Consider the following 19554-nt stretch of genomic DNA (forward strand, 5'->3'; position numbering starts at 1 on the left):
TATTCTGTCTGCCTCCCACGCTGTTATGTAAACACCCAGATAAACCCAAGGAATAAATCACTGGAATATGATCAATTTCTTAATCTCTTCATGGTCCTCAGTTCCCTATGCTTATATCAATGTGTACATGTTAGGTTATAAATTTCACTTGAGCATGGAAATGAGACAGCCTTGAGTATGTGAAGCGTCCTTTACAGAATTCAGTGCAATTAAGTTTACCAGCTCACTCAGTTTATCATGTGCATGGTGTACGCTGAGCAGGTGCTTGGCTGTCCATCATGAGATTTGAAGTTCCACATTATATTGGACATGCTCACTGGGATGACACATCCAATTTGGTGGCTGCTTATTGGAATCACATCTTTTTGTCATGTTCCCTTTCCTTCAACAGGAAAGTATAATCATAAATATTAAAAATAAGTTTTTGAAGAAAGCTGCTCACTGACTCTAAGAAATAAAAGAGTTAATTAAATGCTGAATACATTGAACCAGTGTTGGACAGATAAAAACCTAAATTTGGTTGTCGTAACTGTCAGGCCATTTAGAAACCAAATAATTCACACCCTACTAATTGCTTTTATGTTCACTTATCCAAGAGACATGAGTCATCTCTCACAGAATCCTAATTATGAATGACTTACACCTTGTTGATGACAGAGATCTGTGTTATTCTTACAGAAACTTTCCAAGACATATTTCTTTTAAAATAATTTTAACTTTCTCTGATTTAAGTTTATCTGATAAACTTGTGTATTTTCTCAGAAAGATGTAACCTAGGGGCCTAACTTTTCCTGTCTTTCCTTCCTTAGCCAAAGCGTTGTTCAGAAGCCAGGAAAATTGAGTTTCTAAACTTTTTGCTGCAAAGGGTGTCGATGCTCTGATGACAGATTAATCCAGGCACCTGATTTCTGAAGCTCTGTATTAAAAGCACTGATTCTTTTCAGTAAGGAATCCAAAAAACACCATGAAAGACAGCAGTGACACGAAAATCCATGTAGTGCATATCTGAGTGTGTTAAAACAAGGGCCACTGAATTCTCAAGGCATCAAGAAGTTGATATTGTATCATTATTAAGAGTCTAGGGACACTTCCCTTACTTGAGTGTTAAATATGAGGAACTATTTGAAGACCAAGGAGGGAGAATGAATACAAATGTAACTCACAAAATATACCAATTTAGTTACTGACTGACATAAAAAGTCTGCTGCTTAAGATTCAAGTGTAACCAATGCCACGTCAGGATTTTTACGCATACGCACACACAGTGTTCAGTAACAAAATAGTTTCATTGGTCCTTGATCCTTCAACATTTTACAATTAATTGCCTGGGATACAGAGGCCCTAATGGAAGGGTCATGGCCAGACCTGGAAAGGCCAATACTTAACTCTCACCATGCTAGTGTTTCCTCCCCATCCTCAGACTTGGCAAGCAGAAGCCTGAGGCCTGAAACAAGTAACCTTTGGACCTAGTTTTAGTGAGTATGATTTCTGTGGTCACACTTTCTTTCACTACGTCAGCTGTCCATTAGAGGCACCTTGCTGTGCTGCACACGTGAAATATTAGACACAAGAGTGGCTTCTAAGAATTAAACTACAGAGACTAATCCTTGACTCCTGTAAAATAACTATCAAAGACCTTCCATCCTACCTATCTGGGAATTTCATATGAAGGAAAGATTGATGCATAATTAAAACAGAAACTGTGTATTTATTCAGCATAGGGAGTGGTAGTACAAACTTCCTGGAACATTATTCCAAATGGGAGGATCCAGCAATAGGGATCAATCTTTCTGCTGAGTCAAATGTTGGCTTCTCTTCTGAGGTTTCTGATATATGGGCATCAACCAGCACTACGTGCAATGATAGCTTTTGATGCATATCTTGCCAGTGATTCCAGTGAAAATGTTCAATTTCCTTCTTTAAATCAGCAATTTTCTGGGTCTCATTGCCATTAATATTTATGAATTGAAATAATGTGGTGCTTCAAAAGTAGCCCCAAGGTTTTATAAAATAAATTATGGGATTCCTTTTTTTTCATAAGTAGGAATAAGAGCTTAGGTCTTATTCCTTAGATAGATAGCTTAAGGTCATAGAGTTTACTGGCAGGAAGAACCAAAAAGAAAAAAATGCTTACTCCATTATTCTAAACTGACCACAATAAACTACATCTTTTTGAAAACACTGTTATAAAATAGGACTTGAACTCAAGGTCTGATGTGATTATCTTATTAAGAGTTCTCCGGAGCTTAATTTCTCCGTTTAAGCATCTCTATGTTCCATGAAACAACTACAAGCTCACTTTCAGTTGACACTGCATTACGACCCCTGGAATTAAGCCATCACTACAGGGAGAGTACTAAATTCTCTAAATAAATTTCTAGATTATCTGGCATGTTTGACTAGTGGATCTTATGGGTCCTTCCTTCCTTCCTTCCTTCTTTCCTTCCTTCCTTCTTTCCTTCCTTCCTTCCTTCCTTCCTTCCTTCCTTCCTTCCTTCCTTCCTTCCTTCCTTCCTTCCTTCTCCTCCTCCTTTTTGGTTTATTGTTTATTGAGAGGGGGAATCTCGTTACATTTGTAAAAAGTGATTGTCACATCAAACTACACTATTTTATTTTTTATTTCCATAGGTTATTGGGGAGCAAGTGGTATTTTGTTACATGAGTAAGTTCTCCAGTGGTGATTTGTAAGATATTGGTGCCCCCATCACCCAAGCAATAGAGACTGCACCCTATTCGTAGTCTTTTATATCTCACCCCCTTCCCACCCTTTCTCCTTGAGTCCCCAAAGTCCATTGTGTCATTCTTATGTCTTTGCATCCTTATAGCTTAGCTTAGTTGCCCCATATAGAATAACATAAATTCCTTCCCTCATATCCCTACTCATACCCTTTCTGCTGTCTCATTCTTAATCAAGAAAAAAGCACATTACAACACAGATAAAAATTCCTCTATAATGCTGGGATTATCCAAGCCAATCTAAATCATTCTAGGCTAGTGTAAGTTCCACATGGTAAAGGTGGTGGTGAGGGAGTTATTATAATAAAATACATAAGAAACTCTATGTCTTACCCATATGTGTATCCATGGCCACAGGAAGAATCAATACTGCAACTCTGATCAACAGTTTCATTCCTGCATTAGTAAGGAAATTAAAATCTTACTGTAAGGGTCCTCTTATTACAGGAAGTTCACTTCTATTAGGAATATTTCATAAACCAGTTTGTAGCCAAGGTCAAGAACCAGGAAGCATGGAATTAAGTAGACCACAATCAGTAAAACAGGACTTGGTTACCAAGCTTTGGGACAGGATCAGACAGGCTAGAAACCTGCTGGGCATTGTGCTTCCTGGTTGTGAGAATACAGGTCAATCATAGGGACTCAGAGCTGAGTCCAGAGCAGTATGAATGCACAGTAGAGGCAGGGGCCAAGCTGGAAGACAAGAGCATGAAAATAATATTTTATCCATGATGTTTTTATGAGACCACAGATCAGATTCCAATTAATTATTGGTGAGGATTAGCATCAAAGTTAATTCTTCTCATAGATTGAAAAAAATCACAGAATTGGCATGACAGACTATCTATACATGTACAACTTTCACTGTTTATAAAACATAAGGATAGGCCGGGTGCAGTGGCTCACGCCTGTAATCCCAGCACTTTGGGAGGCCGAGGCGGGCAGATCACAAGGGCAGGAAATCGAGACCATCCTGGCTAACACAGTGAAACCCCGTCTCTACTAAAAATACAAAAAATTAGCCGGGCGTGGTGGCAGGGGCCTATAGTCCTAGCTACTCGGGAGGCTGAGGCAGGAGAATGGCGTGAACCCGGGAGGCGGAGCTTGTGGTGAGCCGAGATCACACCACTGCACTCCAGCCTGGGTGACAGAGCAAGACTTGCTCTCAAAAAAAAATAATAATAATAATAATAATAATAAATAAAAAAACATAAGGATAAAGCTGCAGTGCTTTATGATTGTTACTAAAGTAACTTCCCTTGGAAAAAGAAGACCACATTTCAGAGTCTCATCAGTAAAGTTGTAACAAGTTAATACTTCTGAAGGTATTAAAATGAGCATTCCGTTTAATAATATTATTGTCAGAACACCTAAGATAAAGTGTAGTAAAGGAAATTCATTCATCATTCATCCATGCCTCTGACAATTATCAGATCTGGATTCGAGAAGTAAACTTGAAGGTCATCAGCCAATAAGAGAAAGTTGAAGCTGTGGATCCTAGAAATAGTGCACTGTAATGTCAACTTAGATACATTTTAGATATGATAGTGTTAAACGCTACTATAGATTAAGTAACATGAGGATGGAGAACTGACCGTTGTATGTGGTGTTGTGAGGCTCATTCGTGACTTTGACAAGAGTAGTCATTTCACTGGAGTACTGGGGGCCTTATTGGAGTAAGTTCAAGAGAAAATAGAGAACTTAGAGACTGTAAGTGGACTCAACACCTCCAGGGACTTTGTCTAAAAAGGGAAGGAGAGGAATGAAGAAGTAGCCAGGGTGAGTCAGGTCAAAAGAGGGCTTTCTAAGATGGGAGTATACCAGCGCATTTGTATGCAGATGAGAAAGATTCAGAAGAGGTGAAACAATTGATGACATAGACAGGAGAGAAAAAAACCACCACAGTGATATCCCTGAGTAGGCAGGAGTGGATAGGATCTAGGTCCTAAGTGGAGGAATTGGTCCCTGCTAGAGTCCAACTATAGCAGAAAAGGCTCTCAATATGTTGTTGTGAATGAATTTTAAAATGCTTAGTGTGTTCTTTCTTGAGATTTTAATATCTCACTCTTCTTTTTCTGACTTGTTCTTTTGTAAAAGAACTTGAAATCTAATTCAGAATAAACGTGAGGTAAATGAACAACTTGAATAAACTTTCGTCTATTAACATTTGTGGGAAATACAGTCAGATTACATGAAAGACAAATTAATTTGGGTTACTACTGATGGGAACCATCCTCAAACTAAGACGTGGCTAATAAAAATGAAATATCCAACAACATAAGGACATGGAGAACCAATCCTTTCTTGGGATAATCTTCACAGTAGTTAGGGGGTCCTAAAGCCTATAGGAAAAGTGAGGGCTCTAGAAAATATATTTCCCCAAATACTGTACATTCCTTGTGCCTTTTTATCCAACAGACTTCCTGGCTACGTGCAGACTGATAATGTTAGGGTGACAAACCTGCAGTGCATTATTAGCAAAAAGATAAGCATCACACCATTTCATGAGAGAAAAGATCTTACATCCTTAAGCATTTCAATGAAGAGTGTAGGATCAGTTCCTCCCATGTGAATCACTTTGACATTTAAAGGGTTCATGGAACCAAGAGAAAGGTAAGGCCCATTATTGTAAAAGGAAAATATCGTAACCCTCATGGAATGTTCCTGGATTTCTGCCATGCAGAGGAAGGGACTTGTAGTGGAAGGCGATAGGAATAATAGTCACCCAGGAGATGAGTAGCCAATCAAGCCACTTAAGGTTTGTGATCATTGAGGCAATAAAGCGTCATTCTCCTTGCAGGTTGGGCTCCAGTGCTAGTACACTCGACTACATTCTATCATCATCTACACAATGTGTGATCCAAAAGGATTAAGAGAATCAAGCCCTTCCTCTACTCACTCCTCCAAAGAGTAAAACAGACGCTGGTAAATATTTGTTTAAGAAAGATCTTTTCTGATAACCAAACTGGATGCCTTTTCAGAGCAACCACAGAGGTAGGATTAGAATTGTCTGTGTGGACTAGAAGGAGGTGGTTAGAGAAGGGAAGCTGGGTGTTACCATGGAAAGCTGGAATCCAGCTCTACTGGTACGTTAGCCTCTGCCACTCTGGAATCTTTTAATTGCCACAAAGCCCCATTTCTGGGTAAACACAATGAAACTCATTTTGAAAGGAGGAGAGGGAAAGGGCAAAGAACAGAGGAAGCAGCTTCCTTATTCAGGGAAAAGGGTAGGTAACTAGCACCTCGTAGACTGAAAAAACAAAAAAGAAGGTTTTAAATTCCCCAGGATTTACAGGTTAGCAAGGCCCCTGTACAGAGTCATATGTTCTTTGAGAGAATGAAAATGTCATATCTGAAACCTCAATAAGGCACATAAAAAGGCCCAATATATTCAGAATTACCAATTCTAAAGCTCAAGGAATCACATTAAGAGAAGGAGAGAGAAGAGAATGTCTCATGTTCCTTAGTTATGGCATTTCTGGCTTAAAAAAAAAAATCAACTTTTTAATTTTTTTTTTCTTTGCTATTTTACTGGAAACATCTCAGAGAGGAAAACTAACTGTTCATCCTTTGTTAAAGCACTCCTAACCCACAGGCCAGGCTAGACAGCTTGGGCTTAGTTGAGTGCCACTGGCTAAATTTAACAGTATGGCTTTCTCGTTCTTGAGTGTGAAGGCGAGCAGCAATCAGAGGTGCTATGCTCTAGTTCTCTTTAATCCATTTTTAATTATACTATAAACACAACATGTACAGCAATGGGTGACTTCCATGGATTGTTCTGGCAGGTATCAGCTTGTTTCCAACTGAATGATTTGTTTTCTTTTTCCGCCCCCACCAGCCACCCAGATCCTGGGCCCCAAGCCCTCTGATCCTCTTTTTCCTGAAAGAACGTCTTATTTGAAACGCCATTGTCCATCTTAAATTAAATGTCCATGTTAAATTAAATTGATTAATTTTCCAAGACATTAAAGATGTTTTAAGTTTAGAATAAACAAAGCAAAGAAAGGGCTCTTTTTGTAAAAATGATGCAAAGATGGGAAAATAAGTAGATTTTTTATAGTTTTTTGCAATAATTTATTTAAATAAGTTACATGTTATGTTTTCATAAGATTCTATGTCACAGTAAGGATGAGGGAAAATTAAATCTGTAGTATGAAACAAAATAAATAACATGGGTCAAATTTAAATGTTTCTAATTTCATTATATGTAGGGACTACCCCTATATTTCCATACTATTGTGAATATTTTATTTATATATAGTAATTTTTAATTTATGAAATACTCATTCAATAACATCTTACTTTATTCTCACAAATCTATAAGGTGTCATTATTCCCACTAAAGGGATGAGGGAATAGAGACTCAGAGATCAAGTGACTTGCCCAAGCTCATAGAGCTAAAAAATAGAAGAGTCTGAATTTGAAAGTAGATCTTTCAGCTCCTAATTTTGTCATCTTTATGCTATAAACATGGTAGCATTTTCAGCATTCCTTATTTTCACATTTTCTTCATCTCATCCTCTTACATAGAAGTAAACAGATTAATCTTGAGTATTTCACTAGGGCCAAATGTATCCGTTATCTCCTTTGTGCATGCTTCTCATTAAGTATTTCTAAAGTATTTCAGGCAAAGTTTAACATATTTAGTTAAGATGTGGTTTCCCAGTCTGTCTATTCTATCAGGACTTTGATTTCTACATCTAAAAAATGGGAATAATAATCACAACTCTTAGAAATATTTAGATATAATTGAAGCAAAATGTATCTTCATCATTATGCTTTATTTTTAATTAGAAAAGAACTGGAAGCATTTATTAATGTTTATTTTTTACAAAAAGAGATGACAAGATTTTGTTGCCAATGTCCTTAATAGTCCAGGCTTTTCCCCAACATAATTTGGAGGTAACTTTAGCAAGAGAAAGACACATAGGCAAAGATTTTTCAAATGTAAAAAAGGAACAATAAATACTGTGAAGTTAAAGGAATTTATTATTTTTCTACCGTGTGATAATAAGCATGAGGGATTAGCAAACACTTAAATTTTTTTAGAATAATTACATTTTGGGATGTTGTGAAATTTCAAACTTAGCTTGACCTTTTGGTGTTTGAGTTTGTCTACTTTTGGCATAAGACAATTTCCTGACTTTAAAGACATCAGGCAGCTCTTACCAATGAATATTTTAATTATTCAAGTTGCATAAATGACTTGAAAACATATGGAATCAATTTCCCACACAATGTTCATTGGTTAAAAAATTGTGAGAAAAAATGGTTTTGCTATACACGGATTCAATTTTCTTGAACTTCACATTTCACAGGCTTGGAAATAACCGGATTTCTACTAGACCCGAAGCAACTCAAAGTCGATCACAATCCCAGTACTAATCTGAACTGTTTCAAACATTCTTCACACACATGGCAATCAGTCTGTAACTATACAATATTTTTAATTTTATCGCTACCATTCCCCAACCCCTCAACACACACTCATATTAATACCTTTTAAAACTTATACCAAAACCCTACAAAATAAAACAAGTATGTTATAATCCATAGAATGTCTAAGAGAGCCAAAATGTATAATTTGTGGCACTGTTCATTTTGTGTAGACTTTTGATGAAAAAACAAGTTGCTAATAATAAAACCATACTGTGAAGACCACCATTTATCACTAATCAGTGATAGTGACTCCTCCATTATGTGATTTGTACTACTTGTTTTCTAGATATGAATTCCAAGGCATTGGGTGATATAACCCTGCTGTTCTGTCACCTATTTTTCTGTCACTTCACTTAATAGCACAGAGCATCATGTGGACTGCGTGGGATTATAGCACTTGGTATGAAAAAGGTAGTGGGAGGATATTACAGCAACAGTTATGTTGAAATGAAAGTCTGGCATACATGCAAAACCATCTTCCAATTCTTTCCCTTTTTCAATTTAGGCCCTACGATCACATGTTATCACTAACATTTATTTTATGTTGTTATCCCTCTGAGTGATTTAATTTTGAGACAAAATCATTTTTAAATTTATTATATTTGAATTGGTTTATCCTTAGAACTTTAGTCAAAAATGCATCATCAGCTTTCAAATGTCATAGACTGAAGCAAGATTGATAATTATGGTAAGAACTGGTCAACAGACTTCCTGGTGTAGTCCTCACCAGAGGAATGCAAATCAAAACCCACAATGAGATACCATCTCACGCCAGTTAGAATGGCTTTTCTTAAAAGTCAAAAAATAACAGACATTGGCAGGGCTGTGGAGAGAGGCGAATGCTTATACACTGCTGGTGGGGATGAAATTTGTTCAACCACTGTAGATAGCAGTTCAGAGATTTCTCAAAGGACTAAGAGTTGAACTACCATTCAACCCAGCAATCCCACTACTGGGTATATGCCCAAAGAAAAATAAATCATTCTGCCACAAAGACACATGCACCCATATGTTCATCGCACACTATTCACAAAAGCAAAGACGTGGAATCAACCCAGGTGCTTATCAGTGGTGGAATGGATAAAGAAAATGTGGCACATATACACCATGGAATACTATGCAGCCATAAAAAAGAACAAAATCATGTTCTTTGCAGCAATGTAGATGCAGCTGGAGGCCATTATCCTAAGTGAACTAATGCAGAAACAGAAAACCAAATATCACGTGTTCCCGCTTATAAGTGGGAGCTAAACATTGTGTACACAAGGACAGAAAGATGGGAACAATAGAAACTGGGGACACAAGAGCGGAAAGGGAGGGTTGAAAAACTACCTACTGGGTGCTATGCTCACTTCCTGGGTGACGGGTTCAATTACACTCCAAACCTCACATTACACAATAAAGGTTTGTAACAAACCTGCACATGCCTTCCCAGAATCTAAAATAAAAGTTGAAAAAAAAAAGATTAAGTCCACTAATTTGTCAATGTGGATATGAAAGTAAGTAGCCACATGATTAAAACTCATTTCAACTTGTTTATTGCATTTATAATTGATTCTCATTATTTGCAGGTTCTGTGTTTGTGAATTCACCTACTCACAAAAATCTATTTGTAACCCCAGAATCAATACTAGCAGTGTTTTGTGTTCTTTCACGAACATGCATAGAGCAGGGACAAATTTAATCACGTCCCAGCTGAGGTAGAACAAAACCATGCTCTGCCTTCCTGGTTCAGCTCTCATATTGTAAACAAGTGGCCTTTTTTCAGTCTATTTATTGTCACCTGTTTCTGCATTTTTGTGCTTTTTGTTGTGTTTCACAGTTTAAAATGAACCCCAAGCACGGTGCTGAAGTGCTGTCTAGAGTTCCTAAGGCTGTGATGTGCCTTAGGGAGAAAATATATGTATTAGATAAGCTTCAATCACCCATAAATTACAGTGCTGTCAGCTCTAAGTTCAATGTTAATGAATCAACAATAATACTAAATGTGTCTTTAAATGGAAACACACATAAAAGAAGGTTATGTATTCATCAGTTAATGAAATTGTGACAAGGCACAGAAGAACCTGACCCTGTATTTCCCTTAGGGGGAATGGTTTAGTATTTGCAGCAATTTTATAGGATGTAACAATTGCAAATTATGAGAATTGATTGTATATTTCATATTTGATATTTTCATCATCTTCAGAAAGGATCAGATGGAAAGTTTAGAAGACATTAATATGTAGGGTTTCTTTAAAAATGAAATACTATATTATTACCATATATATTATGCTCACCATATCCTTTTCTTATGATGATTTTTAATTCCTTTTTTAAAAAATCTTTCTCCTAGTTAGAGAGACTTTTTAGTTAGTATTAATAATTATTTCTTACTATTGATAGGGTGCCACTAACAATATTTCTTAACATAAATCTCAAAGGAAAGGGGCTTTCTCAGAAGTCCTGGGAAGTTAGTTGGTGGCTGCGCCCACCTGCCCACATATGACTACTCTGCAGTGCTCCAAGAGGGGCTCATGACTTATCGGATGACAGCACAACTTCATGCCACAGAAAGAAGAGGATGCCCTTTAAAGGTAAATGCATCCAAATTCCAGCTTTACCAATTCAGGCTCATATAACCGAGAATGAGTTGTTTACCTTTCTGAGCTTTTCTGTCTCTCTTAATCTGTAAAATGAAGATACTGAAACCAACTTACCAAGGCAACCTTTTTCTTTACTAAAACCAAATCTAGAAACTCAAAATGTAGTCATGAAAGAAAAAGCTTTGTGGTAAGATAGGTGCGAAATCCAGCTGCTTTGGCATTTCCCCCAATTTTATCTTTCTGTGGGGCTGTCACACTTTTACTACCAGTGCTAGCATTGTGAGGGGTCCTCCAGTCTGGCTGTTCTCCTTAACTGATTTAAAGACCGTTACTCCCCCTTGTTTCTCTTTAGCACAACCAAGGCAGGCAGAAATCTCCCAGAGGCCTTCACTAACTATTAAGGGAGACAAAGTGTCAGGACATTGTGGAGGAAGCCCCTCTGGGGTGGTTCATTTGATGGCATCTCCCATGTGGAACAAGGCTAGAAACTAGAATGTAAAAAGTCCAGGGAAATAGAATAGGCATGCAAGGCCTGCACTATACTCTTCAAAACGGCATTTGGAGTAAGAAAGGCAGATTTTATCAGGGCAGAGTTCTACTCAGGAGTAGTTGAATCAGAAATCTGCAGTGTGTAAACCAGACTTCTGTTATTCTTTCTGTCTTTCCTATATTTGCATCCTTGCTGTTTTTATCATTTAATAAAGTCGTTTTAAAAGCAGCAACCTATAAAAAGCACAGTTCAGTTGTACTAAGGAACTCAATTTGGGATTTCTGACTACGTTTTAGCCCTAGTTTTAAAAGGTGTATAGCTAGAGATGGGATGTAAATATAGTATCAAGGGTAGAAAAACTAATGAGCAACACCCAGGATATTTGGAGAAATAGAGTTTGGTTATTTGGTCAGGCTTAATCCCCCATAGGAAGAATACCAAAGTGGTTGGCACAAGGGCTGACTATGACAATATATTAACTATGTCGTAACAAAATACCTCCAGAAGGGGCTGTTTTATATTTTGACAACTACAAACACACATGCTAAAATTAGATAATATTTTTTAAACTTTTTTATAAGAAACTTACCAAAGTTTTACTAGTAAAGGAAGAGTGATGTGCTCATTTTTAAAAATTGTATTCAGTAATTCCACTTATTCAACCCAAAGCATATCATGTAATATAATCACATAATTTTCTTATGAAATCTATAGTAGGAATAATTGCCCCTGTTTTACTGAAGGCAAAGAGATGTCATGTGTATATTTTTAAATCATGGGTAGATTTAAAACTAAGACTGGAAAGTTTTGGCTCCTATACACACTCAGTGCTAATAAAACTGGTTGGACGAATTAATGTTATTGACTGAATTTTACTGCTCCCTAAAACATGTCACATTTCATGATTTTTAGGTCTTAGAAAATCTTCTCAGAGCTCACTGCAAGACAATAAAGAAAAACACTTCTGTAAATAGTGTTAAATGACACGTGGGGCCAGCAAAATCAGGGAAAAGGGAATCATGGCCTCCAGTTTATTTCCTGATTCAAGAAATGACTCACTGTGTAACTTTGTAAATGTTGCTTAACCTTTTAGCATTCCAGTTTCTGCAGCTGAAAAACAGGGATAATATTTGTCTACCATACAATGGTAAATGCTCTGGAAATAAAAAAAAATTAATCTTGTATCAAGGGACAGTAAAGCTGGTTTTTCATGTACTTGAGATATCACTGACACATTCACAAAGCAGTTTCTGCCAAAGTTGTATGGTTAATGCTTCCAGATCACCTCCCTAAACACCACATTGTGCACTGAACTCTTTTTATCCCGCCTTGAATCAGAATTGTGATCGCCGTGGGGTGTGTTCTACATGACTGATAGGCTGCATTATGCAGGATGTATCACCCGCCCGTGCCAGAGTGCTTTCTGCCTGGTTGTCAGGGAAGACAAGAGTCAACAGAAGGAAAAAGATCCATACAGTGGGAATACACTTTCTCCCTGAATTTTGATCCTGGAATATATGACTAAAAAGACGAAAGAGCTCCTTTCATTTGCGGTCTTCCTGCCACAAGATACAACTGTTCTGTTTCCCTCATATTCTGGATACCATAATTAAGGGAAAACATCTCCGTTTCCTTTCTTATGCTTTGCTTATTATCTTCTTCCCATCCTTATACATTTTTTTTAAGGATAGTTATGTAAGATGATTGACTCAGGCTCTTTCAATATCTGTTGCTTGACATATGAATATCTTTCCCCATTATTCTCATCAGTGGCAATAATTACAGCTATTAAACTAAAGTCTCTGTGTCACTTCAAATGGCTTTCTTCTAATGTCATCTATTGCTGATATGGAGCTGTGCTTTCATGTGACAAATTCCAATATACCTTAACCAGGTAGGAACAGAATGTTATTACAGCAAAGATTTAACAAGCAGGCAGTATCAAACTACATGACTCTGTTTTTGCTAAAGTTCTCCTTCTACCAGAATCGTTATAAGATCCACACCCAAAAAAAGGGCAATGGAGCTGACACGCAGGACTGGAGAAAAACAGGACTCCAAATTGAGAAGGGGTGAGGAGGAACAGGGCTAGTTGGAAAACAACTGAGATTTTGCATTGAGAAAACAAAGCATGTTTTTCTAAATGTAAACACTTTGAGAGGAAAAAATAATGTGACTTTTCTCAAACACCATGTGTCCATTTAAACACAAAAGGACACTTTCTAACTTTGTATGGAGCTGCGATTTATTGCCACTGCTTTCAGCGCTCAGTGACTGCCCTCCTCTGTTAAGTGATAGTTGGATCTTTTTCTTTGGTTTTACTGCCCATCACTGCACATCAGAAGAGACATTAACGTTCACATTCGAGTGTCAAGTCTGGATGTCTCAGCATAAACCGTAAATCAGTATACAACTAGAAGTAAATAAAATGGGAAGGCTAGTGTGGATTGGGTATGATATCAAAATGTTTATTTACTGATACATTGTATAATCTACTCAGAACACTTAGACAAAGCTTCAAGTACAATTTTGTTCCATGTCAGCATTTTCTAGCCTGCTTTCCTTAAAACATGAGATATTATTTGCCATTGCCAAAATAGTTTCACGTTTGAGAGTTGCTGCTTACTATATACATCTCTCTCTCAGAAACTCATAATATACATTTGCCAAATTTTGCAGAAAGCAGTAATTTCTTTACTCAGTCTTCCCCAGAATTACTTAACCAAAGAAACACTCTTTATAGATTTATTTTTTGGGAGAATATCTAACAGAAGTTCTCAGACCCTAAGACACAGTTTGGAAAATACTATACTGTACTTGTATTTTCCAGCCCCTTTAATGGGGACTTGAAGTTCTGACTCTACTCTTTTATCAATGATTCCTTCGACATATTCTAAAATGTATATTTATATTTTAAACACAACTAACTTCCCTATTAGCAGAGACCTATTTTAGGTGTGACCTGGGAAAGGATTAACTGCAATTCCTTTTTCTTCTGAATCTTCCTTTAGAGAATTTGTGGGCAAGCAGCTTCCTCATTTTGGTGGTGAGCAAGCATAAGGTATTTGTTTAATTGAATCAGAGTAGACTAATGTCAGAAACTTCTGTTTCCTACAATATATTCAAAAGGGCAAAAATAAAGAGTTGGTTTGATTATTTTTTCTTTTCTTTTATGTATTCTGTTTCAAGAGCACCTGCCAACGATAAAAAGATGGACGGACAGTGAGGTGTTTTATCTGTTTATCACATGTTTATCTGCCAGTCCAAGTCCTTTGAATGCTGAACTGTTCCAACTGCACAGGTGTCTAAAGATGTGAATTAGAAATGAGTTTAGGCAGCAGATGCTGGAATGTCGTTGAACAGTTCGCTTGAAGAAAACAAAAATAAAAGTATACAAAGTTCATAATACTTTCCTTGGTGAATATTAGGATTTTTGTTTTCATTTTCTCTATGCCTTCCCCCCAATTCCACTCTCTCCCTGTTTCCATGTAATCTGAGTTTCTCTTTTTAGCTTTTCTGGTAAGTATGATTTTGCCTCCACTTTCTCAGATATCATCATAGTATCATAAAGTCTTGAAAGGCTTACTTTCATAGACATTTTTCTCCCCACAACTCAAATCTTTCCTTCCAAGGATGCATACACTTGAGTACCTGAGTGAGTCTCATGTACCTTGGAGATACTCTGTTTGAGTGCTCACATTCTCAAGTGTCGCAGTCCCCATTTTAAAGGTAGAGGATAGAAAATGGAGACTAGATGACTTATGTATTCTCACACGGTGAGTCACTAACCTTCCTGGAAGAGGGACCCATTCTCCCTAACCATTCATGCAAACCTTTTTTTCTTTCTGCTTTTGCTTGAACTTTGTATCCCCATCAAATACATTTAGGTGATAGAGAGAAACACACACACACACGCACACACACACTCACACATATACACCCCTACCTTGGCATCATTGAAGCATTATCCCTGAACTTTTTAAACATTAAGTTAGCATTTGTACCGGGTCAATACTAGTTTCCCTGTTATGCAAACCCACACCCATGCTAAGTGTCTCTAGGGCTCTAGGGTTAGGAACACAGTGATAATATGACTATTTGGTTTCAGTGTTTGTGCACAAGGAGCCTGAGGTCATTTCAAAAAAAAAAAAATGAAAGATTCTGAGGAAAGCCTTAGCAATGAAAGTGACAGCTCTCTTTTTATCAGTGACAAAGAAAAAGAAGTAACTATGATAAGGAGTCAAGAGAATATAGAATATGAAAAACAGACAAGGAATCCATTTCCCATTCAGTCAAGAAAGTTGTAAAGCTGAATTTCGAGGTCACTAAATAAGTGGCTCCATGACAAATCTGGGTTCTTAGGGAGAGGGAGTGTACTCAGCCTAGGAGACATTTCATCTCTATGATGGCTAGGGCCACCCTGCTCCTTGAATGTAGGTGATGCTTGTGCAAAATGCCCTAATTCCAAGACTTGGGTACATTCAGAGCTGTTTCTGTGATTTCTGCAAATTTCCACTGGGCAAAAGCTCCCAGGAGCTCCCTCTGTTTCTGGGTTCCTGCTTCCCTGCTGCTGAACACAATGGTGATACCAACCCTTCCCAGATTTCCACTACCACCTCCTTCCATCATAACAGATGTATGGATGGGTCCTAGTGTAGGAGTGGGGTTGGGGGAGTGGCTTAATAGGGTTTACCTTGAAGCAATGCCAACACCTTCAAATCAAACCTAAGAAGCCCCATTCTTAAATATTGAAAATATCCTATATTGTATGTAGATAACCTCCTCTCCCTTGCCCCACTGCGTCCCTGAAATCATGGTGGCATTTTCACCGCCCTTTTGGCCATGTAGTTCCCAGACTGTTACTATGTTACTGTTTCTAGTTGTTGGTTTTGTTTTTACACTAGCCTCATCCTATTCTCGCCCCTTCTCATAAGTAATAACAACTACTTTTGACTTTCTTAAGCAGAACCATAAAGCCCCCTCTGGCTCTCACTTTTGTTCCCAAGCAATTGCTAAATGTAATGGGTTTTCCCTAAACAGCAGGATTCTAGGGCCACTTCTTTACAGACAGAATTTCATCCATGTGACAATTTTGCCCAAGGCCACTCAGGGCTGCTTCTCTCTCAGAGGCAATGTCACTTAGAGACCAGCTTTGTGAAAACTTATTCAGCAAATTCAGGTGCATGATTAGGAGGAGTTTTTCTATTGTAAAATTTGGGGACTTTGTTGAATTTGATGAGAAAATCAGAATAAGAAAGTTTGCCCCAGGGGTGAATCTATTACCCACGTGGAGACCACTCACTGCCTTGGAGCAGTGTAGGAAGGAGGGTTGACAGACTGGAAGCTCTGCAGCTGGATGGCCTATGTCTGAATCCCGATTCTGTGCTTGCATTTGTACAACTCTGGGCAATTGCCTTCATCTCTGGGTGCCTCAGTTTTCTCACTTGAAAATAGTAGAACACACTTTAAAAAGTTTTTGGATGGATTACATGACTGAATACGTATGGAACCTTTTGAAAAGTGTTTGGCACCTATGTGTGTTATCTAGCTTTGTTTTAACTTGGCCAAGTAACAAAAGACTAGGGCAAGGGCTGTGTAGAGCACAGACAGGCAGCAAACAGGAATGCTTTTGGCAGAAGTTTTCCCCATGGGAGGCAGAAGAGATGGTTGATGTTACAATTCCAAGAGTTCGGAAAACTCCACTCAGGAATGGGTCCTTTTGGTAGATCTTTTGTCTCTAAACTTTTGCAGGTTGAAATTGTGAAGAAAATCAAGGGGTCTCTTCGCCTCAGTATTTCACATCAGGGCTTTCCCCCTGCCCCGCGCCCCCCCGCCCCGAATAAACAAGTCTTTGATATATGAGAGAATTTGGGTGTTTTCACCGAAGTGGGCCCCAGTTTCAACTGAAGTGGATTTCTATTCCTCTAATGGAATATTCTTTCATTTTCTGAGCAAAGAGGTACTTAAAAATCTCTTGGAAGGAAAAATTTAAAGTATGAATGCTTATTTAGACTTAGCATAATTCAGTTTCTCTCTGAAGAATGCCTCTCTTGTAATTTCATATCTATATATTTCTTTGCATACAGTACATACTCAATAATTGTGGGTAGGTTTGGTTTTCCATCCTTTAAAAATAACACCGAGAAGCTTGTTTTAAAAGATTGGCAACTACTATCCAGGTTTAGCAGCAGCAGCAATAACGGCAACTTAAAGAAGTTTTCCATAGAATTCTGGAGGGACTTAACCACTTGGGTTCGTATGTTAATTTGCTGCACATCTCACCACACAGGAGTCTTAGATCTGGGAGTAAACCGCCAGAGAAGAACATACTTGTTCTTATTTTCAAATATCCTAGGATAAATTGTACTCTAGTCACTGGTGACAGAAGAAATCAATACAGAGCATAACTGTAAAAATATTCATTATTTATGGAGGAGAAAGAAGCAAAAAAAAAAAAAAAACCAAAAACCCTCTCCCCAAAAATCCCAAAACAACAACAACAACATAAAACAAAATGCTAGGGAACCAAAAAGGGCAAGTACAAGCACACCAGGATCACCAAGCTGCAGAACTCCGGGTGCACCATTTGCACAAAACAAGTGATGCATCCCCTGGAGTTCTTTAAAATGTAGCTGTGAAGAATACCTTTGATGTGTAAAATTTTAAGTGATTTTCTTTATGGTCAGAAATAGTTCATTCATTCTTCTGCTCCTCAGTGTTCATCTGGGGCTGATCATGTTTAAAATGATTAGAGCCAACATTTTTTGAGTACTTGCTATGTGCCCAGCATTGCTCTCAGTACTTTCTATATATTAATTCATTTGATTTTATAAACCCCTATGAGATAAGTACCCTAATGCTTATCACATAGATGAGGAAACTGAAGCCAGAAAAGTAACTCACCAAAGGTTATACAGGTAGTAAGTAGTGGAGCTAGAGTTCAAATGCATGTGGTTTTCTCAGGTTCTGCAATACTCCTGGATTTATCAGTCCCCAGAGCATGCCAGGGCAACATGGTATACATGGCCATTGTGTTTGATGACATTTCCTGATTAAGTAGATTGAGTGTGAGATTTTTTGATAGAATCTTAGAGAGCAGAAAGAAAGAAACTTCTCCCTTCCAAAAGACCATGGAGATGTCTGGCTGCTATAGATACCCCAGAAAGTCACTCACCAAACAAATTCGGAAAAATTGGAAAAATTAACATTGCATTGGGCATTCTGGGAAACCAGGGCCAAGAAGTTTAGGCTCTCGCTGACAGTTATATTCATTCTGGAGCCACAAAGTCCTCCTGTTTAATTAAGTGCTGAGAGTTGGGGACTCGCTTAATGACTGGATTGCCTCTTGTTCCCAGCACAAAAAAGTGGACCAACATCTGCATGGTCTTCTCCAGGTAGGAGAGAGCAGATGGTTTAAGCCTTTGCCAGGAGGCCTCATTCACACGCTGGATTTTAAGGCATCGTGGTGCTTGTGAGGTGCTTGGTGAGTCTCAGTCAAATGCTTCTTTGTAAGGTAAGGCAATCCTTTTACTTAAAGCTGTTTGATTATTCCTAGATCAACAACCCTGTCCCACTGTAAAATCTTTGGTTGGCACTTGCTTTTCTTTTTAGATAGTAATTACCAACAGAAAGTAGGTGAGAGAGTTATTATAAGAGCATTTACAATATTTGGAATTGCGTGATGGCTATTTTAAGCAAAATGAATAGGAAAGGCAAAGAAGAAAAGAAAGGGAGATTTTAGTTTCCTCAAAGATTACCAGAGTCCCACCTCAGTCAGGGAGTATCAGGTTAGAGTAGTTCTGAGAGGATTACCTGGCCCTCAGCCCTTGGGAATTCTCAGCTCTGTGTTTGTTTTTGTCTCCCAACACAGGCGTGGTATGAAGGGGTCACTTAGAAGGTGAGCAAGACATTAAATGCTCCATTTCCTCACTGTGAGGTAACACTCTGCAGTCAAACCAGGTGAGCTGAAATAACTGGATATGCTTCTCCACAGAGCTAATGCATTTTTATCAAACACTTCCTCAACAATTCTTATTCCCTTTCTGGAGCTTTCATTGCTGCTGCCAATTATAGGAGAATTGAGACAGTCAAAACACCTCCAAAAAAGAAAATGGCAAAAAGAAATTTTATGTTGTCTACAAAAGAGATACTATATTTTGTTATTTTTGATCCACCATCTGGGCTTCCATGAAGTAGAGATTTGAAGCTTAGTATAATAAAGAAATAACATAGATGATGGGGTTTTGGTTTTTTAAAATCAGATTGCTTTATCAACCACTGATGGTATAAAGTCAACTAAAACAT

General features: G+C 37.9%; 1 annotated feature.

The window, feature by feature from the left end:
- Nucleotides 17607–18187: an enhancer, noted in NCBI's record as "OCT4-NANOG hESC enhancer chr2:213782642-213783222 (GRCh37/hg19 assembly coordinates)". NCBI's record gives its function as "activates a minimal SCP1, AML or CMV promoter by ChIP-STARR-seq in primed H9 embryonic stem cells {active_cell/tissue: H9 hESC(primed)}" and the evidence as "EXISTENCE:reporter gene assay evidence [ECO:0000049][PMID:30033119]".

This window comes from Homo sapiens, chromosome 2, assembly GCF_000001405.40.
Source record: "Homo sapiens chromosome 2, GRCh38.p14 Primary Assembly".
Lineage (NCBI taxonomy): Eukaryota > Metazoa > Chordata > Mammalia > Primates > Hominidae > Homo > Homo sapiens.